This window comes from Homo sapiens, chromosome 7 (genome assembly GCF_000001405.40).
Source record: "Homo sapiens chromosome 7, GRCh38.p14 Primary Assembly".
In the NCBI taxonomy this organism is placed as follows: domain Eukaryota; kingdom Metazoa; phylum Chordata; class Mammalia; order Primates; family Hominidae; genus Homo; species Homo sapiens.
In genome coordinates this window covers 148,282,543-148,308,145 of record NC_000007.14, presented here as the reverse complement: position 1 = coordinate 148,308,145, position 25,603 = coordinate 148,282,543, and the positions used below count along the sequence as shown (strand labels likewise).

General features: G+C 40.3%; 1 protein-coding gene across 1 annotated transcript in view, besides 1 other annotated feature; it reads right to left on the bottom strand.

The window, feature by feature from the left end:
* CNTNAP2 (contactin associated protein 2) overlaps positions 1–25,603 on the bottom strand; it is a 2,304,198-nt gene that overhangs the window by 112,853 nt on the left and 2,165,742 nt on the right. The window lies entirely within an intron of this gene.
* Positions 17,065–17,619: an enhancer, noted in NCBI's record as "OCT4-NANOG hESC enhancer chr7:147987619-147988173 (GRCh37/hg19 assembly coordinates)". NCBI's record gives its function as "activates a minimal SCP1, AML or CMV promoter by ChIP-STARR-seq in naive H9 embryonic stem cells {active_cell/tissue: H9 hESC(naive)}" and the evidence as "EXISTENCE:reporter gene assay evidence [ECO:0000049][PMID:30033119]".

Below are 25,603 nucleotides of genomic sequence, written 5' to 3'. Positions count from 1 at the left end.
AACATGAAATTCATTTTAATACTAAGGGACCTCACTATTTGAAAAAAATTACTTGTAAATTTCTTAGCTGATCAATTAATTCTTTTGAAAAGCAAATTGGAAATTATGCCATGACTCCAGCTTTAATAAGTCAAGAATATTGTGAAATGAGTGTTTAGTATATTCTTTTTTTTGAGACAGGGTCTCACTCTGTCAAACAGGTTAGAGTGCAGTGGTGTGATCTCAGCTCACTGCAACCTCCATCTCCCAGGCTCAAGCAATTCTCCTGCCTCAGCATCCCCATTAGCTGGGACTACAGGTGTGTGCCACGATGCCTGGGCAATTTTTGTGTTTTTTTTGTAGAGATGGGTGGGTTTTGTCATGTTGCCCAGGCTGATCTCAAACTCCGGAACTCAGGTGATCTGCCCACCTCCGCCTCCCAAATTGCTGGGATTACCGGCATGCGCTACCATGCCCAGTCTCTATGTATATTCTTCACATTTTTTCTAAAATAGAAGTGCTGAAGGATTCCCATTAAAGATGGTGGATTGAGCACCTACATTTACCACTGCTTCTTCATAAAGCCCGTGAAAAGGGGAATGAAGTGTTAAGATATACGAAGGTGTAAGAACAAATCATGAGGCAGGGGATGATAACAACCTTTTTAGAGCTGAAAAACAGCAGAACCATCTTAAGTGGCAGCATATCCAAGGACAGATGCTTGCACTGAGGTGGAGAGTGCTGAGAAGTAGCCCGGTTGGCACTGCAAAGCCGCCCATTATTTGTGCAGTTGATGGCAAGAGTTTCCACTGGATATGTGTGTTTATGTGAAGCTAAAAACAGAAGAACTCACTGGAAGCTCGTGAAGAACATTTATATCCCCAGATCCCTACCCCAGGCATCTGTCCTCCCCTCACTCTGGCAGAAGAGGAACGATGTATTCTCTGGGAAGGACACAGAGACTCTCAGTTGGAGGACTCTAGGCATAGGACGGCAGGGGCTCTGTACTGAAAACAGGGATCTTCAGTCAACATTTACACACTGAATCTTGAACCTCGCAGTCCTCTTCCTTCTTAGCTGTGAGAACAGTGACAGCCAGGTGTCTACCCTCCAGGCAACAGGGCAGAAAATTCTTCTCTGGAGCTTTCAATCAGCCCAAGACAAAAATCTCAGTGATGCAACATCAGGGGCTTCCCGATGAAACAACTCAGCCACTGAAGCCCACGGGTGACAGGCCCCATTTGTGTGCACAGAACTTTCAGTCATATTTGTAGTGCCTCAATCTTAAATGTGGGTGTCAGCTAAAGGGGAACCAGGCATTTGAGGACATGTCTCAAACACAGGAGAAGAAAAAAGAAAAACAAACGAAAATACACATATACACACACACACACACACACCAACCAACCAACCAAAGAAAGCTACTTGAAGGAAAAAGAGGCTGAGTAGGAAAAGAAACACTTGGGAGAAAACCGTCATTAATACCTTCTGAGAGATAACATATTGCTTTCATGAAATGAGAACAGATGATTTAAAAAAAGGAACATTCAAAGAACAAAAAATAGAGCTCTTGGAAATTCAGAACATAAAAAAAGAAGTGAAAAACTCAATGAGAGTTTATGAAATGTAAATTTGAGAACATTGTTCAGAGAATAGGGGAAACAACAGCCAAAGAAATTGAACAAATGAAAGAAAATATAAGAAAATAACAGATCAGTCCATGGGGTCTGATAGCTGAATAACAAATTCTGGGAAGAGAGAACAGGAAATGAAAGAAGAAATTGTCCCCCAAAATCTATTCCTAGAGTTCAAGAACGGCTTTCCAGATTAAAAGGCCCCATGTGTGTTCCAACAGAAAGAGTCAAAATAGACCCACATCAAATAATATTCATGAGATTTCAGAAAACAAAGAAGAATAAGAACCTAAAATCTTCCAGAGAGAAAAACACCGAGTTCAAATAAAGAATTGAGAATGAAAATGGCATTGAATTTCTTGAGAGCAATACTATTGACAATAGACAAATTCCTTCAAACTTGTGAAGGGAAATAATTTCTAAATGAGAATTCTGTATTCAGTCTGATTTCAATTAAGCATGAGGGAGAATAAAGACATTTTCAGACTTGCAATGTTTCAGAAAATGTGATTCCCGTTCATTCTTTCTCAGGAAGCTACAGAAGGATGGCTCCATTTTTAAAAAAGGGACTAGATCAACAAAGAGAAAGTCATGGAAGCCGGGTAGGAGGGGGATCTCATGCCATCCGGAGGCCCAGGTTATCTATGATGATGGAGAAGAGAGATGCAAGGATGGTGATACGGCTTGGCTCTGTGTCCCCCCCGCAAATCTCACCTTGAATTGTAATCCCATGTGTCAGGGGAGGGTCCTGGTGGGAGATGATTGGATCATGGGGGCGGATTTCTCCCTTGCTGTTCTCATGATAGTGTGAGTGGGTTCTCAAGAGATCTGATGGTTTAAAAGTATGTGGCAGATCCCAGCTCACTCGCTTTCTCCTGCTTTGCAGAGGTAAGACATGCTTACTTCCCCTTCACCTTCTGCTGTGATTATAAGTTTCCTGAGGCGTCTTAGCCAGACTTCCTGTTAACCCTGCAGAACTGCGAGTCAATTAAACCTCTTTTCTTCATAAATTACCCAGTCTCATGTAGTTCTTTATAGCAGAAGGAAGACAGACTAATACAGATGCCCAAGGCCTATCCAGCCAGAATGCTCTGGGGTAGAAGTTTCCAAGAAAATGAAATGGTGAGTTCCTCTTATATTGGCTGCAATATGTTGAGGGAAGATTTTAAAATTGAGAGAGAGCTTGAGTTTCAATTCATAATTAGTTCACAAAAAATTAAGCAAATGAAGAAAACAATATAATGATTAAGGAAAACAAAATAGTGTGTAGGAAAGGAAACTTTTTTTTTTTTTTTTTTTTTTTTTTTTTTGAGACAGGGCCTTGGTCTTTCACCCAGGCTGGAGTGCAGTGTTGCTATCATAGCTCGCTGCAGTCTCCAATTCCTGGGCTCAAGTGATCCTCCCACTTCAGCCTCCCAAGTAGCTGGGACTACAGGTGTGCACCATAATACCAAGTTAATGTCTTTTTTTTTTTTTTTTGTAGAGACAGGATCTCACACTATGTTGCCCAGGTTGATCTTGAACTCCTGGCCTCAAGCAATCCCTCACCTGTGCCTCCCAAAGCACTGGGATTATAGGAATGAACCACCATGCCTGGCTGGAAACACAGCTCTATTATATGGTTCAGTTATGAAAAGCATGATGATGTAAACACTGCATACGGATCTATCCAAAGCCAGTAAACCATCCTATTGGAAGGGTGAAGGTAAAGGAAAAACATGGAGGGGAGGAGGCCATGGAGGAGAGTTGTTGGCTGTGAAAGAGCCTAATCCTCATCTTCCATAGTCAGGAGTCACCTAACAGTGACTGACTAAAAACAGAAACTCAAGGAGTAGCCTAGGAGACGGTAAAGGACAGCCCACTGTGCAGCCACCTGTGTTTGTAGATAAAGTTTTTTCAGCACCCAGCTACACCCACTCATTTACATATTGCCCACAGCTGCTTTTGTGCTACAACAGCAGAGGTGAGTAACTGCAACAGAGACTCTATGGCTCTCAAAGCCTAAAATACTCATTGTTTTGCTCTTTACAGGAAAAGTCTGCTGACCCCTCAAGTAGCAGGTGAATATATTTAGAGAATTAAAGACAAATGCCAAAGGAAAAAAAAATCTTGAAAATTGGATGGTTGTTTATCCTAATAAGCCATATAGAACTATTTGACACTTTAAACAAGATGATTTTATTACTTTGATAAAAATAAAAGCTAAGTAAAAAAGAAGTGTTAATATGTATTATCAGAGGCAGCAGACATTTTTTTCCAGGACGATAACAAAGTATAAAAACAAAGCACCTCCCTTCTTTGATGTGTTCCTTTTTTCGATGTTTGGACAATTTCTTTGCTTACAATCTAATTTCCTGTTTTGAACCTATCAAGTTTCCTCTCTTTTGGCTTTTTTATTTTTAGTTTTGGTTAAAAACCAAGGCAGGAAGCAAGAAGTCAAGCATAAGGTTTTAAATGACTTCTCTTCTACCCTCTGAATGTATCTAGAGGGAGGGAGGTTGCAGATTTGTAGATTCCCAGGCAATCCACAACTTCAAAGAGTTCGCTAAACAGATTTTATTCACTTAACCAAAAGTAATCTCAAATTTTCTTCAAACTTCAACTTATTTATCTTAAAAGGATGCAGTGGAGACTCACATTCCACCCAGTGACAACTTTCCTTCCTAATGTAATCTTGAAATGGAAAAGCATCCATAATTAATCTGGAAGTGGGCTGTCTTAGCCATTAAACACGTTTCCAATTTAGACTTGGGCTTTGTCCCAGCAATCTGAAAGGTCATTTTCTATCCACGGCTTCAAGATAATTCCCAATTAGGACAATAAGGACAATTTCCAGAAAATGAGCTTTTCTTAATACGTGCAATGTCTGATAATTTATTGATATTATCATCCAGACGTGATGGTAAATATTTCTATTCTGGGGTCTGGGATGCGAAAAAGAAGGAGCCATTCTCACTATTGCATTCTCAGCTTAGTATGTATGACCTTATTCAGCAGAAATTTCAGCTGCAACACGGCCAAGCTTATAGGCCCCGAGGGACTTATGTACTAGCAGAGCTTGAAGCTGAGTCAGCTGGCCAGGGCCCAAGCTCCTAAGAGAGGATGCGCCCTTCCAGCTCTCATGGCGTGTTGGCTGTCCACCTACCCGTCTCTGCCTGGCTATGTCACTTCAGTATGTTCAGCAGGTGCTTACTGAGCACCTTCTATGTGCTTAGCTCTGCATGACCCCTGTGAACAAAACCAATCTACCTTGCATTCTCTACCTGGAAGATGAACCACTTCCATTTATGAGCTCAAGGAAATCCTTCGTCTTCAGGATCAAGTTAAATTTCAGGAGTGGGAATATTTGTTCTATTAGTATTTTCAGGATGTATGGGACCCAGTTACCATGGTGTATTAGTCCATTTTCACACTGCTATAAAGAAATACCCAAGGCTCATGCCTGTAATCCAAGTGCTTTGGGAGGCCAAGGTGGGCAGATCTCCTGAGAGATCAGGATCAACTATGGCCAACATGTGAAACTCTGCCTCTACTAAAAATACAAAAATTAGCCAGACACAGTAGTAGGCGCCTGTAATCCAAGCTACTCAGGAAGCTGAGGCAGGAGAATTGCTTGAACCTGGGAGGCAGAGGTTGCAGTGAGCCGAGATCCTGCCACTGCACTCCAGCCTGGGTGACAGAGAGAGACTCAATCTCAAAAAAAAAAAAAAAAAAAAAAAGAATAATCGAGACTGAGTAATTTATAAAGGAAAGAGGTTTAATTGATTCACAGTTCCACATGGCTGGGGAGGTCTCATGAAACTTACAATCATGGGGAAGGGGAAGTAGGCAGGCGAGAGAAGCGAAAGCTAAGGGAGAAGAGCCCCTTATAAAACCATCAGATCTTGTGAGAACTCACTCACTATCCTGAGAACAGCGCGGGGCAAACCACCCTCATGATCCAACCATCTCCCACCAGGTCCCCCCTTGACACATGGGGATTACAGTTCGAGATGAGATTTGGGTGGGGACACAGAGTCAAACCACATCACATGGCATAGGGGATATTGGGGACACAGGAGGAATGGGTGCAGCTTTGGGAGGCTGAAAAAGGGCAGGGCAAGGGAGAAGGAGGCACAGATACTTCAGTGTGAGCTTTAATATTCATGTGGTTCTAGGGTTCATGCATTAGACTTTTCATTTCATGTTCCTCTCCCCTAACCAAGTTCAGCCCTTCTGGGTCTTAATGTACATCTAAACTTTTGCAACATTACCCTGGCTGGTCTCATTGCCAGTAGAAGCTCAGTTCTTTAACTCATTATATACCCTACTGCTAGGTAGATTTTCTTACACATCCTTTGTACATTCCTCAGCCTGCTAGATGAGCCACCACCACTAAGAAAGTGGCCTTCACAAGGGCAGGTTCGGGGCCTGTCACTGCTGGAGTCCAGCATCCAGCAGTGACCTGGCAGCAGGAATCTTATGTGTCTGTTGCCTGGAAGGCAAAGAGAATCATGGAGTTTTCCAGCAGGAAGAGCAAGATCAGCTAGGCTGTGCTTCCGTCTTGTAAAGGAGCTAGCCTTGGTGTCATACAGCAGGAACTGAGGTCCCAGTGATTATTCAAGGCTATAGGGCCAGTTTGTGGATAGGCCAGGTGTCTCGTCCATCCACTCTCTTCCATTCAGAGTCCCTCAAAGTCACCCATGGGTCCTCCTCAATGCTTCACTTTGACGCAGAAGCCTTCTACCACCAACAGGCTCATCTTCTTGCTGTTCTACGGACCCCCTGGTGTGGTGAAGCCTGCTCACCTTTGTTAAGGCCATCCCACTGGCACAGATCCACATCCGAGCTACATACTTCTTGAAGTGGGCATGGTCCAGTTCTATCTCCACAAAGCTGTCCTCCAGATTTCTGCTCTATCCCTTCTCAAGGGAATACATATTCCTTTTTAAAAAATCACTAATTGGGTACTTAAAACATTAACTAGAAGTATTTTACATTTTATTACTGCATTTCATCTCTCCAACTTGCTGCTAAACCCCATGAGGACAGAGGGGATGTTTAGACACACAGACTTGCAGAGTTGAATGCATCCTTGGAGTCCATCTGTTTCTACACATTTATTTCACAGATAATGTCACTGAGGCACAGAGGAAGGAAATGGCTTGCCCATAGTCTTTTTTTTTTTTATGCAGTAAAATGTACCTAACATAAAATGGACATTTTAACCTATATATATATATATATTTTTTTTTTTTTTTAGACGGAGTCTCGCCTTGTCACCCAGGCTGAAGTGAAGTGGCATGATCTTGGCTAACTACAACCTCCGCATCCCGGGTTCCAGTGATTCTCCTGCCTCAGCCTCCTGAGTAGCTGGGATTACAGGCGCATGCCACCATGCCCAGCCAATTTTTGTATTTTTAGTACAGACGCGGTTTCACCATGTTAGTCAGGCTGGTCTCAAACTCCTGACCTCGTGATCCACCCACCTCGGCCTCCCAAAGTGCTGGGATTACAGGTGTGAGCCACCATGCCTGGCCCATTTTAACCTACTTTTAAATGTACAAGTCAGTGGCATTAAGTGTATTCACATTGTTGTGCACCATCACCACCACCCATCTCTGGAAATTCTTTGTCTTGCAAAATTGAAACTCTATACCCATTAAACAACAACTCCCCATTGTCCCTCCTCCCAGCCCCTGGCAGTCACCATCTGACTTTCTGTGTCTATGATTTCAACTCCTCTAAGTATCTCATAGAAATGGAATCATACAGTATTTGTCCTTTTGTAACTGGCTTATTTCCCTTAACACAATGTTAAGGTTCACCCATGTTGTACGTATAGACCACATTTTGTTTATCTGTCCATCTATGGACACTTGGTTCTTTCCACCTTTTTGCTATTGTGAATAATGCTGCTATGAACATTGGTGTACAAATAGCCTAGGGTCTTTTAGTGACTTTTTTTTTTTTTTTTCCTGCTTAGCCTAGTGTTCCTCACAGGGTGGAAACTCAGTGAAAAAAAAAAAATTGTTATGATTATAATCTTAGCTAGCCCCTTAATCTTATTGAGAAAAGAAGATTTAAGCCATGAAACAAAAGACTATCCTTTCTGTAATATAGTTCATATGCTGATGCTCTCCAAATGCAATCAACATTTAATCATAACATATAACGAGTATGAAAGTATGAATTTTCTTTTTACACATGTATTTATCTTCTCACTTGTATTTCTACATATATTCCAGAGAGGAGGAAATATGATTCAGGACTTTGTTTCTCTCTAACATAAGGTTGTCCCTTAAGAATCCTTGGTAAAGGGCCTATCATGAAACCATAAGGCTTTTAAGAATCCAATGTCAAGGATTTTCTTTGACAAAATCTCCTTTAGCATCTCTCCTGCTGGGTTAGAGAAAGAGAACAATTCAGCAAAAACACTAGGAGCAGCTTTCCCTTTTCCATTTCCATACGCCCTTTCTCTGTAGATGTGTGTCCTTGAAAATCCGTTATCCCTGTTCAACTCTCTCAAGGTGAATTCAAGGACAGAGGCCTCTTACTATGAGCATTAACTTTAGTGGACAGTTTTTTACCTCCTTACACAAGCCTATATTCAGCATCAAATCAATTCCTTTGGCAGTTATTATTATTTAGTGTTAGCTCTCCAAAGTGACTTTAAATCTCTTTTCTTAGTTAAGAGAAATGGAAAAATCTTTCTCTGCCAGTTGCTCACAGTGATTTCTGTATTATCAGGAGCTTATTAAGCTAAAAAGCCTACTGGGCAAAGACTAATCATCATTTTATGCATTTCTAGAGCACATTACACTTTTCAAATTGTACCTTACATCCAATATTTCTTTTGGTCTGTGAAACAATTAGGTTGGGAAAATAAGGCTGAGTTAATTATTAGGCCAGTGGAATGAGGCGGAGCTGAGGCCCGAGGGAAGCAAAGTGTGGAGGGTCACACAGCAGCGATCACTACAGTGGCTAGTCAGAAAAAAATCGTTGACTGTTATCTGTGTGCCCTTGGAAACAACCTAGAAACACGTGGTCATTGGAGGTGCATCCTGTCCTGTGCAGAATCGCGCCTGCCTGGCCTGAGCTGGCTCTGCCCAGCCTTCCTGGCTCATCAGAACTTTCTCTGGTCCAGGCGAAATGCCCTCCTCTAGTTTCTGATGCAACACACCTTTTCCCAGCTCTGTTTCCTTTTCTTTTCTTCACCTGGCTACTTCTACTCATTCTTTAAAAAATATTTTTAAAAAGTTGGGGCCGGGTGTGGTGGCTCACATCTGTAATACCAGCATTTTGGGAGGCTGAGGAGGGCACATCACAAGGTCGGGAGATTGAGACCATTCTGGCTAACACGGTGAAGCCCTGTCTCTACTAAAAATACAAAACATTAGCCAGGCGTGGTCGTGGGCGCCTGTAGTCCCAGCTACTCAGGAGGCTGAGGTGGGAGAAAGGCGTGAACCTGGGAGGCAGAGATTGTGGTGAGCTGAGATCGTGCCACTGCACTCCAGCCTAGGCGACAGAGCAAGACTCCATCTCAAAAAAAAAGAAAAAAAAAAAAAGTTGGCCAGGTGCCATGACTTACTTTAGGAGACCACAGTGGGTGGATCACTTGAGCCCAGGAGTTCGAGACCAGCCATAGACAACTTAGTGAGACCCCATCTTTACAAAAAATACAAAAATTAGCAAGGTGTAGTGGTGTGTGCCTGTAGTCCCAGTTACTTGGGAGGCTGAGGTGGGAGGATCACCTGAGCTGAGGAGGTTGAGGCTTCAGGCTGCAGTAAGCCATGATTGTACCACTCGACTCCAGCCTGGGTGACAGAGTGAGACCCTGTCTAAAAAATATATATATATGTATATATGTCTGTGTGTGATGGTTAATATTCAGTGTCAACTTGATTGTATTGTTCCAATCCTTGGAACTTGGTTGGATGTAAAGTATTGTTCCTGGGTGTGTCTGTGAGGGTGTTGCCAAAGGAAATTAGCATTTGAGTCAGTGGGCTGGGAGAGGCAGACCCACCCTCAATCTGGGTGGGCACCATCTAATCAGCTGCCAGTGTGGCTAGAATAAAGCAGGGAGGAGAAGATGGAAAAAATTAGAAAGATAGTTCTTGAAGGATGGTCAGGAATCATTACCATCTTCTATGCTCTGCCCTCCCGTTGCCCCAGCCTAGAAGCATTTTCAACCCTTTAGGCTGACTTAAAAACGTATCTCCAAATGATGTGGTGACATTGCAATTTCATGACATGTTTTTAGGCATTATCTATTCACTTACCAATACGGATGATGATGAGTTAGCTTCTACTCTCCTCCCCACCATCCACTAGCACCATCCAACTACCCTTCTAAAATAGGCAGGTTGGACTTGGAGTTAGATCACAATTTGGTTTTTATAGGATTAAGGTCACATATGATTAAGACCACGTAAATGCCATTTAGGGCTAAGTCATTATTGTTTCCTACAGTTACTTTTCTTTTCCTGTAGTTTTTCTTTTTGCTGAGTTTTATTTACTTTAAATTTGTTTCATTTTCCTTTGGTGATCGTGTTTTTGTGTCCTCCTTCAATCCTTAATTGAGAATGAGAAAGAAAAGCAGCTCTTGAGCGTGGGGAGCTGTTTGGGAACTCACAGCCAGGCCATGTGTGCTTCTGTTTGGGGTGATCCATTTCACAGAACTCAACATCAGACAAGGTCATTCCGTGACCTTCATGGGGAAAGGCAAAGAAGAGGTCACTCCATGAGACATGTCTCAGCACTGAAAAAAGAAAACTGGCCAGAACACGAAAATGATCCAACATACCCCTTCTCAGCCTAATACACATCATTTCTACTTCTTTACCAACTACAGCTGTTTTTCTCTACTGTCTTCAAGATAAAAAAAAATTAAGATATTCAATCACAGAATTACCTGCTTCCTGACAGTATCCAATCTAGAACAAACCCCTACTTTTTTTAACTCTCCCCAAATCACCTACTGAAAACCGAATAGCACTTTCTAGCACCCTCTTTCCAGCATCCTCTTACTGAGATGCCTCTATGGTTCTCCATAATGAGCAATCTCCCATGATGCAATGAGTGAAGAATCCCACATTTGTTCTACTACAGGTGGGCTCCTAGTGGTCAGTGGCTGTAATTAATCTCTGCATTTGAAGATCCATCAATATTCATCTGTGAGCCCTACAGTCTTGGATGGGAACCCTCCACTCACCAATTTTAGTGTGCTTATTTGAGACCCTTTGTGTCTCTAGCTGTCTGATGTAACCACACTGCCCGTGCTAGGAGAAGTTCATGCTGAACTGAGCTTCCATATTCTGCTGAGGTCCTTCCACTTTAGGTGTTTTTCCTTCCTTCCTTCCTTCCTTCCTTCCTTCCTTCCTTCCTTTTCTCTATCTCCCTCTCTTTTTTTTTCTTCCCCTAGGAATAAGGTTACCAGTGACTTTTTGGTTATCTGATCTGATTTTTATTGTTCTTTGGTGATACTGTTTACCAGTCTACAGATATATGTTCCTATGGACTGTCTGCTTGTACAGTGTCTTGAGTGTTCTTTATCTCTAAAACAAAAGGTCTCTAGGGAGACAATGAGCATAAGCCAGGTAAGTCAGTTCTTGAGCTGGCTCAGGGGCCTAGGAGTTCAGAAGTTCTCCTACAATCAACATTCTTTGAATAAACTTTGACTTGGGTCATGATTTCGAACCCTTAGAAGAACTTTTTCGTCGGTCTTGTTCTTTTCCTGAGAGCTGCTTTGTTTAGATTAGGCTTCTTGAAATCAGAAGGGATTGTCTGACCCTGGAATGGGCTTTGGCCAAGTCCTGACGAAAGTAGGCTGCACGGGCACCATCGTGTGGGAGGATCTATTGCAGTGCTCATAGTGTCTGATCCATCCTAAAACTGGGCATTTTCTATGAAACAAATACCTGCTTTCTCACATCACCTTAACTGACATGCTTGTGTCTTTAACTGGCAGAATTTCACGGGATAATTTTTTTTTTTTTTTTTTTTTTTGAGACAGAGTCTTGCTCTGTTTCCCAGGCTGAAGTGCAGCAGCGTGATCTTGGCTCACTGCGAACTCCACCCCCGGGTGCAAGCAATTCTCATGCCTCAGCCTCCCGAGTAGCTGGGACTACAGGCGTATGCCACTATGCCTGGATAATTTTTTGTATTTTAGTAGAGATGGTGGGCGGGGGGGGTCTCACTGTGTTGCCCAGGCTGGTCTCAAACTCCTGATCTCAGGCAATCTGCCCACCTCAGTGCTAGGATTACAGATGTGAGCTACCATGCCTAGCCAATTTCACAGGATAATTTTGAACTGCAGTGGCTATTTTGGGGACCTTTTTGACATGAACAAGATTGTTCATTTGAGTGGTGCCTGAGAACAAAAATTGGAGAAAGCTTCATGAAGAGATACCTGTCTTGCAATCTAAAAAGAGAGAGTTTTTGGCTCATTGTAAATGCTGTTTTCTACATTTCTGTTCTTTGAGGATTAATAAAGTCTGGCTTTTAAACATGTTACTTGATAAGAATTTCAAGGCCCAAATAATTGTTTATACCAGCTGTAAGAGTTATCTTTTGCATGTATATATGTCACAGTGGGTTTTCCTGAATCTAAACATTTAGTGCCTCTTCTTGCAGAGGGAAGACCCTTGCTTTTTACAGCGATAATGTCTTAAGTGTCTGAAGGTGGGTCCCTATCACTGCTTTTTTTTCTATTCCTTTCCTCCTCTTTTATCCTCTTTTGGGAAGCTTTAAAAATTAATTGAGGCCGGGCGCGTTGGCTCATGTCTGGAATCCCAGCACTTTGGGAGGCCGAGGCGGATGGATCACGAGGTCAGGAGATGGAGACCATCCTGGCTAACACGGTGAAACCCTGTCTCTACTAAAAATACAAAAAATTAGCCAGGCGCGGTGGCGGGCACCGGTAGTCCCAGCTACTCGGGAGGCTGAGGCAGGAGAATGGGGTGAACCCGGGAGGCGGAGCTTGCAGTGAGCCGAGACTGCGCCACAGCACTCCCGCCTGGGCGACAGAGCGAGACTCCGTCTCAAAAAAAAAAAAAATTGATTAAAATATTCACTCTATCATTATGAGTGCACATTAGGAATATCTGTACCATATTAGTAGTCAAAAATGTCTAAAAGGAAAAATATTAAGCTGTGCTTCTTTTGTAGCCCTTGTTACTATAGTTACAAGATAAGAAGAAAACCTTAGTTCAAGATAGAAGAAGAGCCTTGAGCACGACTTAGGGTCTTTACAATTTCATTTATCATATAAAAATAATATCAGAATAATACTTTGGTTTGTACGAGACCAATGATAAATTTCTTATCATTTAAGTTCCTAAATTTCCTACATTGTTTTTATAAGTGGATCATCACAAATTTTATAACTTGTTTAAAATGTATACACATACATACATATAATTATAGTCAATTAAATGAAAAGGTAATGGATTTTTAAAAGAATTAAGTTTTGTAAAATTTTTAAGTGCTGGGTGTCAGGATTCATTATGTTTGCAAAAATTGTGATTTCTCGATCCTTAACTAACTTTAAGACCTTAGACAAATGGTGAAGTTAATTAGTTAATAATCTTTGAAACCTAGACAATTTCAAGAGTGAAACAGATGCAAAATAAATGCTGGTTGGTAACACAATTTTAACTTACCCTGAATTCTTAGAATGGCAATAGATTAATAAAATATGCAAATACTTTTGGATGATATAATATATATATGTTTATTTTTGCCACCTCAAGTATGTTAAAATGGTATAAAATTAGTGTTCGTAAGGAAAAGAGATTCATAAAAGTTTTTTGTTTTTTGTCTTCTAGTGTTCTCTTATGTCTGGACAAGAGAAGTTAGCTGCTTTAATGAAATACAGTAATATACAAAGTTGATCATACTAGGTACAATAATTTTAGTGATCAATACACAAATAGACAAGAAAGTGGACTGATTTTTTGATTATTTTAAAAGTTATTATAGTTAATCACAATGGCAAAGTGTGTCTTTAAGTAACACAAAGCGTTGCTCCTTCACCCTAAAGAGGGAAGGATTATAGGTTTGCACAGAATTCTCCAATTTTTGATTAATTCAAAATTGTTATAGAGCTCTTTTGTTTTCCAAAACTGATAACTAGAAAGTGAGTTTATTTCTTAAGTTAGCCGTACATAAAACTAACAATGCTTAGTTATTATTTCGAGGTTAATTATATGTAAGCTTAGTAATGTTTAATTACATAGATGCTTAGAGAGTATATTCTGAATGAATGAATAAAGGACAATACAATAACATTTCTGTGACTTACAGACAATTTGATGCCTTTCTTGCAGAGATGGGTGCCAGCGTGCCTTCTGAGAATGGAGAGGTTATAATATAATATTGGCCACAGATGAGTAGCCTGTTCAGGGCTCGAGGCATGGCATACACATAGAATAGGAAACACCGCCTGCTTTTTCCTTCCATCTGTGAACCAAAGGGTTTAGATTCTTTTTTTTTTTTTTTTTTTTTTTTTTTTGAGATGGAGCCTCGCTCTGCTGCCCAGGCTGGAATGCAGTGGTGCAATGCAATCTCGGCTTATTGCAGCCTCTGCCTCCCGGGTTCAAGCGGTTCTCCTGCCTCAGCCTCCCGAGTAGCTGCGATTATAGTAATGCGCCACCATGACTGGCTAATTTCCATATTTTTAGTAGAAATGAGGTTTCACCATGTTGGCTAGGCTTGTCTTGAACTCCTGACCTCAAGTGATGTGCCTGCCTCGACCTCCCAAAGTGCTGGGATTACAGATGTGAGCCACTGTGCCCGGGGGTTTTGGATTCTAAAGCTGAAACTTGAAAGCATAGGGAATGTTGACACAACCTTCAATCCTGTCCAAGACATGACTTCTCCTCTTTTACCAAAATCTAGGTGTTTTAATAATGTGTCAGGGATAAGAAGATGAAAAATGTTAGATGGAAATCCTCATCCATCTTGCTAGTAACACTTTGTACTTTTGGATGAATCACTATACTTTAATTTTGGGGGATTATATCCCAAAGGTTAATACAACATTTCTGAGACTGGCTACAGACCAATTCCTAACCCATTTCCTTGTTTGTCCTCAATTTGTTGAATAGCTTTGACTATTGACTTACCGTGCCCAATTCTTTACATCTATTACCATTAATCCGAAAACAAGCCTGTAAAACTGAGAGACATATCCATATACCAGAAGTCATCTTACTAGTGAGGCAGTTGATTTGCAAGTCAAACCAAGTCATATCTAACTTTAATACTGCAGATTTTTTGGTTGCTATTTCATGCTACCTTCAGTGTCTCACACACAAAAAATACCATGCTTGTGTTTGTGTGAGTGTATGCGTGAATGTCCAGGAATGCATGTATTGAGGTGGTGGTGAAGAGTTACAAAGAAAAAGAAAGCATTAGAACAATTTAATTCAAATTCATTTAGCAGATTTTGGTCATTTATTTTATTTTATTTTATTTATTTTTTGTCAATCACGATGTCTATACAACTGCGCTGTGCTCCCTCAAAAAATCTCTACTCACACCATAATTTAACACTGGGAAAAATTTTACTCATATGCAAATAAAGAAGAAAAATTTGCCGGTGTAGATGGCTCAGGCAATTATAGCCATCTGCTACTTGTCAGGCCAACATGTTTCATCTGCTGCATGGTTCAGATCAACTAAGGAGGGCATCCCAGTGTAGGGCAGAGGAAGTTGCTGAGACCAGATGTTGGGGTGGAGGGGATGGATGGGAAGCAGCTAGATTGTGTTCTCTGGTCCTCATTCTAGTGTTTGGGCTGCAAGTGGTGGCCAGGGTCCCTGCAGCATCCTTGGGTTCACGAGCCATCTCTCCTTTAGGTGAGACCGAATCTCCCCAACCTCCCCAGTGAAGAGTCTCATGAAAGGTAGAGTAATACCAGTGGCTAACCTGAGCTTGCTAACTACTGTCTTTTCCCTTCCCCAGGCTTAAGATACTCAGCCTCTTTTTCTCTTAGGAAACAGTTGTTTTTGTCCCCTAAGCTCTGCTGGTGGCTTCAGCATGCTACACACTGTAACTCTAGCATGCTTTGTTTTCATCACTACAAACATTTTTAATCAGAGGCACGTGTTTTCATCAGTTAAAACCCATCAGCTTTAACCTCTTTGGGATTTCACATGAAATGTAGAACTTGCAGAAATTGGTATTTTCTACATTACGTCCATAATTAATCTGAATATCTGAACTGGCTTAAAAATGAAAACTCTATTAGTTTTATCCTAATCCACAGCGTTCAATAAGCTTCACTTTACCTGAATGGCTTAATGTGGTACTCTTCCCTTTGTCCTCCTGGGCAAGAAGAGAGAAAAATCTTCCTTCTCAACTCTCTTATACATAGAATTTGGAAAACTTCCTTTGTGAAAACCTGTCTTTTACAAAAAACAGAACAAAACAAAACAAAACAAAAAAACCTTTGCTTTTGGGGTTTCCTGGTTCTAGCTAGTGCTGATCTGGGACATGTTTTTTTTCTTTACTCCTAGGGCTAAAATATGAAATGTTAACATTCCTGCTGCTGTGTTTGCCTCACCACCCAGCACCACTCCATGGAAACCAACAGAATGAAATGAAATTAATCATCGCTTCTTCTGAGATGTCAAAGGCTGGATTTTGGTGCCCTTTTCCTGGCCCTTAAGATTTTATATCTAAAGTAAGAAGTTATTTACACACTTCTTTTAAACATTTTTTTTCAAAAATTGACAAGTAGAAATTTCATATATTTGTGGTATACAACATGACGTTTTGGAATCTGTATACCTTGTGAAATGGCTAAATGAAACTATTTAACATACGCATTACCTCCCATGCTGTGAGGGTTAATACTAACTGTCAACTTGATTGGACTGAAGGATGCAAAGTATTGGTCCTGGGTGTATCTGTGAGGGTGTTGCCAAAGGAGATTACCATTTGAGTCAGTGGGCTGGGAAAGGCAGACCTACCCTTAATCTGGGTGGGCACCATCTAATCAGCTGCCAGCACGGCTAGAATACAAGCAGGCAGAAAAATGTGAAGAGGGAGACTTGGCCTAGCCTCCCAGCCTACATCTTTCTCTTGTGCTGGATGCTTCCTGCCCTGGAACATTGGACTCCAAGTTCTTCAGTTTTGGAACTCGGACTGTCTCTCCTTGCTCTTCAGCCTGCAGATGGTCTATTGTGGGACCTTGTGATCGTGTGAGTTATTACTTAATAATAAATTCCATATTTTATATATATATATATTATATATATATTCCATTAGTTCTGTCCCTCTAGAGAACCCTGACTAAAACACATGCTGATCACTTACATACTTCTTTTATTACTGCGAACTCTCATATACTAATTTACCATGTGATTGAAGTCAGTACGGCCTCTGAATATCTAGATTCTTGCACATCGTAGAGATCTCTAAAAACTGGAAAGTCTCAAATCCTCTTCTCTGTAGGACTCAGCACCATCAGATGGTGAAGATCTACATTCATAGAAGTATAAATTCTGACTTGCGCCGGTCAATTTTGTGAAAAGAAGCTTAAAATGGTGCCAAAGCAACACCAAAACCATCCTTTCACAAAACCCATTTCAAGTAATAATTCTCCTTCATGCAGCCACAAAAATAATATCCTCATGGGTATAAATCTTAGAAGGCTGCTGGAAAAAGCTCTCTGTACTTAACGATTGATGGTCCTCAGGGACAGGAATGTGCCCCATGCTGACACATTTATCACCTGTGTTTAGAGCCAGAATAGCACCAGGGAAGGGCTTTGTAAAGAGGTGAGCCTGAGTGCCAGGGTGAGTGATGGATTTGACATAAAAGGCTGAAATGGGAGGTCTAATTACGACAGGGAATGAACAACTACCTTAATGAATCTGCCGCAGAAATTTAGTGTTGTAGGCACCAGCCACATGAAGATAGAAAGTGATAGGGTGGTTGCTCACACCTGTGGAATGCATTATTTAGAACCTGATCACTATTCATTCTGAAATGATAGCATAAAGTGAAGATAAATTCCCATCTCTGGAAATTCTCCTATCCTTGACCTTCACAATGAGAATCAAAACAAAGGCAGCTTTCAAAATGATAAAAAATGTTTTCCAGATTTACTTTCTTTCTTAAAGCATTATAGAGAAATATTTTAGGGTTAGAATTTGCACAGGAATAGAACAATCAGCTTGGTTTTCCGTATGGCTGACTCTCTTTACCATGTGATAGAGGGTTGTGCTTTGATTTCTAAAAGTGAAGGTGAAAACTGTTATGTACAATGATTTTTTAAAAAACAAGAAACATTTTCACTTCAGTTCAATTTGTTTTTCTTTTTCCTCTATTTTTAATTTTAAGCTTAAATTTAATATTTTATCACCTTAAATACTAAAACCAGATACATCAAAATATTATTCAATTATGTTGCTATATTAAAAATCTAGGATACCGTGACTACTTAAATATGACTTCCCTTTTCTATCAATTGAGAAAAGAAATCCCTTTATATTCTGCATATAACACTGAACATAGATTCTGATTTGAACATGTGCTACAATTTTCATTAATGTCACCTGAATTTCCATTATTATTAAGGAAGCTATTTAAAAAAATGTGGTTTGTTATTTTTGTCATTGCAAAAAATAACTCAGGCTTTAAAAGGTTTGTGTGAAAGTGGGTTCATCATCAGCAGAGTTTCTATTGATGACATCATGTGTGTGCAGAGGGAACGTCTGGTCTCTGTTGCTGCCTCCCCCAACAGCCTTGGTTTCTGGTGTGCCTTGTCCTGTAAAGAGGTGAGGGACTGAGCTGGGAAGTCCAGCCAGCCAACAGCAAGAGAGCTGGCCTGTGGAAGGCTTCCATGAGCTGTGTGGCAGCCATCAGCATGATTGGCTATTTTGATGCCACCAGTGTTTGCTGAGAGCAATTCTGTTCCTTTACCCGCCTCCCCAACATGGGGTGTGTGTGTGTGTGTGTGTGAGTGTGAGTGTGTGTGTATTCATTTACATTATCATTTTGCTTCTTGGACACAGGGAAAAAGGAATGAAAAAAACCAAGTAAGTTGGTGTTTATTGGTCATACTCTAGTTGAGGGCTGCCTCAAATCTCTCTGCTATTTCACCCTGGGAGGACAAATCTGTTCCGAAAACTCCCATCAAGACAGTATCTGTGTACCATCCGAGTGACATGTAGTCTTGCCATTCAGGTCATCTCTTAAGCAGAGAGCACACTCTTCCTGCTCCTGAAAACACAATTCAGGTCAGCATCCACCTCTCTTCTCCCCACTCTTCAGTTTCCTCCACCTGCTTTTCACAGAAAAGATTCACCTTCTCCTTTCCAAATCCTCCCACTATGGCCCGTTAAGCACAACCCTGGAGCTATTGTGACTTTCTAGGGGCTGGGAGACAACTGAAATTTCTGAGAGCGCTGAGCTGATAGGGTCCTATTAGAGTGCCTGGTGCACAAAACCTGCACCTTTGGAATATTGGGGTAATCAAAGGGAGACAGGCCTGCTAGGTAGGAATCCCACCACCCTGAGTTGCACTTCTCTTGTGTATTCAAAAATTCAATATACAAAGTGGGTTTTTCTCTCTTTTTTTTTTTTTTTTTTTTTTTTTGCTGAATAAGATATTTTAATCTGTTGTAATTAAAAAGTCAAAGTAGAATGAACAGGAGGTTTAAAAACAGGTCCCCATGCCAACCTCAAGCATGTAGTTGTTGTCCAAGAAATATTTGCTAAATTTAATTGAATTGTGGCTTATGAGTCACTTCTCTGTACCATAAAAGTCTTGGTGGAAAGGTTTTGCAGATACCTTAAATTAACTGGCTATGTTTGACTCTTTTGAAAAGGAAGCAGGGGGAATGATTGGAACAATTTTCAAAAAATAGGTAAAAATTATTAGGTAATATATAATCTGAATAGACCCACAAATTATTAGTGTGATTTCTACTCTATTATTTAATTTAATAGTTTTACATTATCTTAAAGAAGATGCTATGGTTTGAATGTGTCCCCCAAATTTCATGTGTTGGACACTTAATCTCTAAATTCATATGTTGATGGTATTTGGAGGTGGGGCCTTTGGGAGGTAATTAGAATTAGATAAGGTCATCGCGGTGGGTCCCTATGATGGGGCTGGTGGCTTTAAAGAAAGAGGAAGAGAGGCGGGGCGCGGTGGCTCATGCCTTTAATCCCAGCACTTTGGGAGGATGAGGCGGGCAGATCACGAAGTCAGGAGTTTGAGACCAGCTTGGCCAACATAGTGAAACCCCGCCTCTACTAAAAATACAAAAAAGTAGCTGGGCATGGTGGTGGGCGCCTGTAATCCCAGCTACTTGGGAGGCTGAGGCAGGAGAATCACTTGAAGCTGGGAGGCGGAGCTTGCAGTGAGCCAAGATTGTGCCATTGCACTCCAGCCCGGGCGACAGTGTGAGACTGTCTTTAAAAAAAAAAAAGAAAAGAAAAAAAAAAAGGTTGGGCGCGGTGGCTCACGCCTGTAATCCCCGCACTTTGGGGGGCCAAGGCGGGCCGATCACGAAGTCAAGAGATTGAGACCATCCTGGCCAACATGGTGAAACCCCATCTCTAGTAAAAATACAAAAATTAGCTGGGCGTGGTGGCACGTGCCTGTAATCCCAGCTACTCCGGAGGCTGAAGTAGGAGAATCAATTGAACCCGGGAGGTGGAGGTTGCAGTGAGCCAACATCATGCCATTGCACTCCAGCCTGGGCAACAAGAGTGAAACTCCAATTCAAAAAAAAAAAAAGAAAAAAAGAAAGAAAGAAAGAGGAAGAGAGACCTGAGTTGACCTGGTCTTGCCTTCTCACCATGTGATGCCCTCCACCATGCCATGACACAGCAAGAAAGTCCTCACCAGAAGTGGCCCCTGGACCTTGGACTTCCCAGCCTCCAGAAGCATGAATGAAATAAAGTCATTTTCTTTATAAATTACCCACTCTTGGGTATTCTGTTATAGCAACAGAAAATCAGAGGATATATGCATATTTGTTAAAAACAGTTGCTTTGGGATTAAGATGATTATAAATGTGTCAGGAAAAGGAGGGCCAATGGGTCACATGGCATGAAATAAAAACAATCACTCAATCGGTGGCATCTTGCTGGCCACTGATGTTACCTAGTCCAAGAGCTGGGAGGTGTATACAATTATGAGCGAAGCTGAACAATTGTTTTTGTTTATTGACTTTTGCCTTTTTTTCTATAGTGGCTGTTCAAACTTTAGTTTCTTGATTTGATTTTTTCCTTACAAAAATAAGGCTGAAATATTATTTATCAATCAAAAGAAATGATCTATCAAGCCATGACCTGAAGGAAACTTAGATGTATTTTACAAAGTGAAAGAAGCTAATCTGAAAAGGGTACATATTGTATGATTCCAATTATATGACATTCTGGAAAAGGCAAAGCTATAGAGGCAGGAAAAAGATCAGTAGTTGCCTGGGGACCGGGCAAGGAGCAGAGGGGAGGGAGGGATGAACAGGTGGAGACAGAGGACTTTTAGGGCAGGGGAACCACTCTCTATGATACTGTAATGGTGGATCTGTGTCATTACACATTTGTCCAAACCCAGAGAATGTACGGCCCAAGAGATTATTAGGGTACTATGTGTGGCAAGTATGTAACACCAAAAACATGACGTAGAAAGATGTTAATAAGAAGAGAAACTATGTATAACGTGGGGAGGGGTGAGGGAGTATATGGAAACTCTCTGTACTTTTTGCTCCATTTTTCTGTGAACCTAAAAATGCTCTAAATTACAGTCAATTGAAAAGGCTGTAAAGTTAAACCTTCAAACTATTAATCCACACGATAGTGTTTTATTTGCAAGGCTAAGTCACTTTGTTTAATTAATAATGTGACTTCCTTTGTATTATCATTAATTTGATATTAATTAATTTTGATAAAATAACCGTAATAGTTAAGAAATAACAAAAAGATTTTTTTTAACGTGTTTTAGGGTTTGACTTCTATAACTTAGAGTAAGAAAATCTACTAAAACTTACAGTGTTTTAAAAAATAGTAATTAGGCCCACAAAATTAATTTATGATTTATATTAATCCTTTCCTTATTGTTTGACTTTTCTTTCCTTTCTACTTCCTAATGCACTTCCCATATTAACCAGAATTTTGAAGCCAGGTCTTTCTGTGTATAGGGAGCCCAGGCTGCCACAAGACAGTTTGGAGACCTCTACTGGTTAAAAGCCGATGAGAGCACTAGGATCGACACAGAGAGATGGAGGAAAAGGAAAGAGGAGAGAACCTTATCAGGAATTGACATGGTCCCCTTTCTGAAGCATCAAATAAATACACAGTTGACCCTTGAACAATATGGTTTTAAACTGCATGAGTCTACTTATATGTAGATTTTCTCCTGCCTCTGCCAACCCTGAGACAGTAAGACTAACCCCTCTTCCTCCTCCTCAGCCTACTCAATGTGAAGAAGATGAGGATGAAGACCTTTATGATGTTCCACTTCCATTTAAGGAATAATAAATGTATTTTATCTTTCCTATGATTTTCCTAATAATGTTTTCTTTTCTCTAGCTTAATTTATTATAAGAATACAGTATATAATACATATACAAAATATGTCTTTATCAACTGTTCATGTTATCAGTAAGGCTTCTGGTCAACAGTAAGCTATTGGCAGTAAGTTTCTGAAAAGCCAAAAGTTGTATGCAAAATTTTGACTGCATAGGGGGTCAGCACCCCTAATTCTCCTGTTGTTCAAGGGTCACCTGTACTATGCCTATCTCTCAGGGTCTTTTCTCTTTCATAAAACAAACACAGACAGTAAATAAACCAACAAGCACAGAAAGACCCACCCTGGAATCATGGTTCTACCACTTACTAGCTATATGACTTGGCACATGTCACTTTAAAACTTCAGAGCCTCTTTCCTCACATGTCAAGTGCAGATTTAAGTAGGCACTTACTTGCAAGGTTAGAATTAGTGATAATGTAGTGCCAGGCAGGTGTTTCACACTTGGAAGGCATTCAACATACACTGTCCTCCATAGTACCTGTCTAGTTACTGTAAGTGAGACTGAAAGACAGTCTGTTAAATAAATCTGGCACCCGTGATAAAAGACAATGGAATAAGGCTCACTTCTGTGTATGGCTTTGCTTTAACCTCTGAGTTTGTATTTTGAATGCTAATTCCTCCCAGTCAATAAAGATGGAGTAACAGTTGGAAAATGAATTTACCTTGGAGAAGTAGTATAAATTGTGAATTAAAAATTATTAAACACTTCTTTTAGAAGATTATCTTCCTTAGATAAATACACTTTATTGTTTTTTAACAGCTACATTTAAAAGCAGGAAAATAATTCTTACTTAGACCACAGAGTCTGTCTTATCACCAGAGCACAGAGCTGTGACATTCAAAATCTAGCCATGCTTGCTGCCAAAAAACATAACAGTCCCATTAAATATCTGTTATAAACATTTAATGCTTTTTATAGCAGGATTATTCACACCCTATAGATTTTTAAGAGGTGAATAATTCTTTCATGCAAACATTTGTTTTTCTACAACTGCTCTATTCTTCCTTCAAAGTGCTACAGAAAAGTCTGTGGGGATGCCAGTCTTCCCAAATGTGGCCATGTTAGTGCCGGAGGAACATTCAAAGCATAGACTTATTGGGCCAAATCTGCTTCTTCTGTTACCATTTCATTGTGTTTTTCTGTTTTGTTCTTCAGAGCATTCAAACAAGGAGTGACTTGATTTCTTTTTATTCCAATTTGTTAACCTTCAAGCTCTCCAAAGTTTAAATTCCAGGTCGTTAGCAAGATTACATAAAGGGTCTTTGTAGCCCAGACCTTTTTCTTCGAAACATGTTATGTTCCCCTTCCACGGACCTTAAGATGCAGTGGTGTTGAGTGACAGCCAGTCTTTATGCTATAGGAAGCACCATGAGATTTCACAAACCAGAAGGAGAAGACCAGGCTCTACCTGGGTAGCCTTAGTTGGACTTGTTAATCTAGTGTGCTGAGCAGTAACCACTCTCCTCTTACCTCCATGTATTAGTCTGTTTTCACTTTGCTGATAAAGACGTACCTGAGACTGGGTAATTTACAGAGAAAAAGAGGTTTAATGGACTCACAGTTCCACATGGCTGGGGAGGCCTCATAATCATGGCAGAAGGTGAAAGGCACATCTTACATGGCAGCAGGCAAGAGAGAATGAGAGCCAACTGAAAGGGAAACCCCTTATAAAACCATCAGATCTCATGAGACTTCTTCACTACCATGAGAACAGTATGGGGGAAACCCCCCCATGATTCAATTATCTCCCATCGGGTCCCTCCCACAACAAGTGGGAATTATGGGAGCTACAATTCAAGATGAGATTTGGGTGGGGACACAGCCAAACTGTAACGCTCCATGAACATCATGTGTGATAATAGCTGTGGAAGAGCTGTTTAAACTGCAAAATAATATAAAAACATAATGTATCATCATATTCATGTGATGCAGGTTAAAAATAATTCAGTCAATTGTCACTATTTGCAGTAGCTATGTTTCATACAGTTGCTGCTAACACTCAATTAGTGAATACTAAAACATTGTTCCTAAAGTAAATACAGGGTTAGGTTCCTGCAAGCATCTGGTCATAACATTTTATCAACCAACCAATACATTACCTTGCTTTATGTGTGTATCTTATTTAATATTCAGTTTTGAAATAAATGTTGTTGATTTATTAACATTGAGCTCATGGCTGCCAGCACAATCAGTCATGCCTAAAGACAGCTCATCTAACAGATGTATTTTCTCCACAGGACAGATCGCAGCGTCTTGTGCTTAGGAGCAATAGATAGCATTTCAGCACTCCACTTAGGGGCCATTTTATACAGTAAAATCACCAATAAAAACACAAGAATGCAAAAAAAATGGCACTGAATAGACTACAAAAATGATACTTGTTTATGGTATAAGAGCTGAAACTAGAAGGCAAGGGCATCACCTTGTTTGACTTCAAATGAGAATGTACACATTGATGACAAATTGTTTGCTGCACAGCACATGTCTGCAAATAACCACAAAAGCACCAAGAATACTACTTTTGAGGTTCTAAATAAATTTTAGAGAGTAGGTGAATTTGTAAATATGAAATGTATAATAATAATGATCAACTGTATATAAATAAGAAATTCAAAAATTTTCCATGCCTTCTGGAATACTTTGGAATGTTATAATAATAAGAATTCTTTCTTTCTTTCCTTCCTTCCTTCCTTTCTTTCTTTCTTTCTTTCTTTCTTTCTTTCTTTCTTTCTTTCTTTCTTTTTTTTTTTTTTTTTTTGAGACAGAGTTGCTTTTGTTGCCCAGGCTGGAGTGCAATGGCATGATCTTGGTGGCTCACTGCAACTCCACCTCCTGGGTTTAAGCAATTCTCCTGCCTCAGCCTCCCAAGTAGCTGAGCTTACAGGTGCCTGCCACCATACCTGGCTAATTTTTGTAGTTTTTTAAAGTAGAGATGGGATTTCACCATGTTGGCCAGGCTGGTCTCGAACTCCTGACCTCAGGTGATCCACCTGCCTTGGCCTCCCAAAGTGCTGGGATTACAGGTGTGAGCTACCGAGCCCAGCCTAGAATTTTGGCTTTCAAATGTTTGTTTATTTCAAAACAATTGGGTATGCAAAAGTATGTTGTGTGTCAAAGACAGGTGAGTTGAAGATTTGGGACAGAAATAAGTGTTTTGACAATCTTCTTTAACCAAATACTAAAAATGTGATTAAAACAGAACTTCTGATCTCTCATCACATTTTAACAATAAATGATTTTTTTTGGTGGGGGTTGCTTTTGTTAATTAAAAATAATTTAATTTTGGAAACCATGGAAAGATGATGATACCAATTGGTTTTCAATCAAAAGTTTTTTTCAGTTTTTCATTGTTTGAGTGTTCTTTTTATGAGTGACCCAGGATTGGAGTCAGCCATTCTTTATTTGTATTAGCTAAAAGTCAAAGATTAGATGTAATGATACTGCCTAAGACGTAC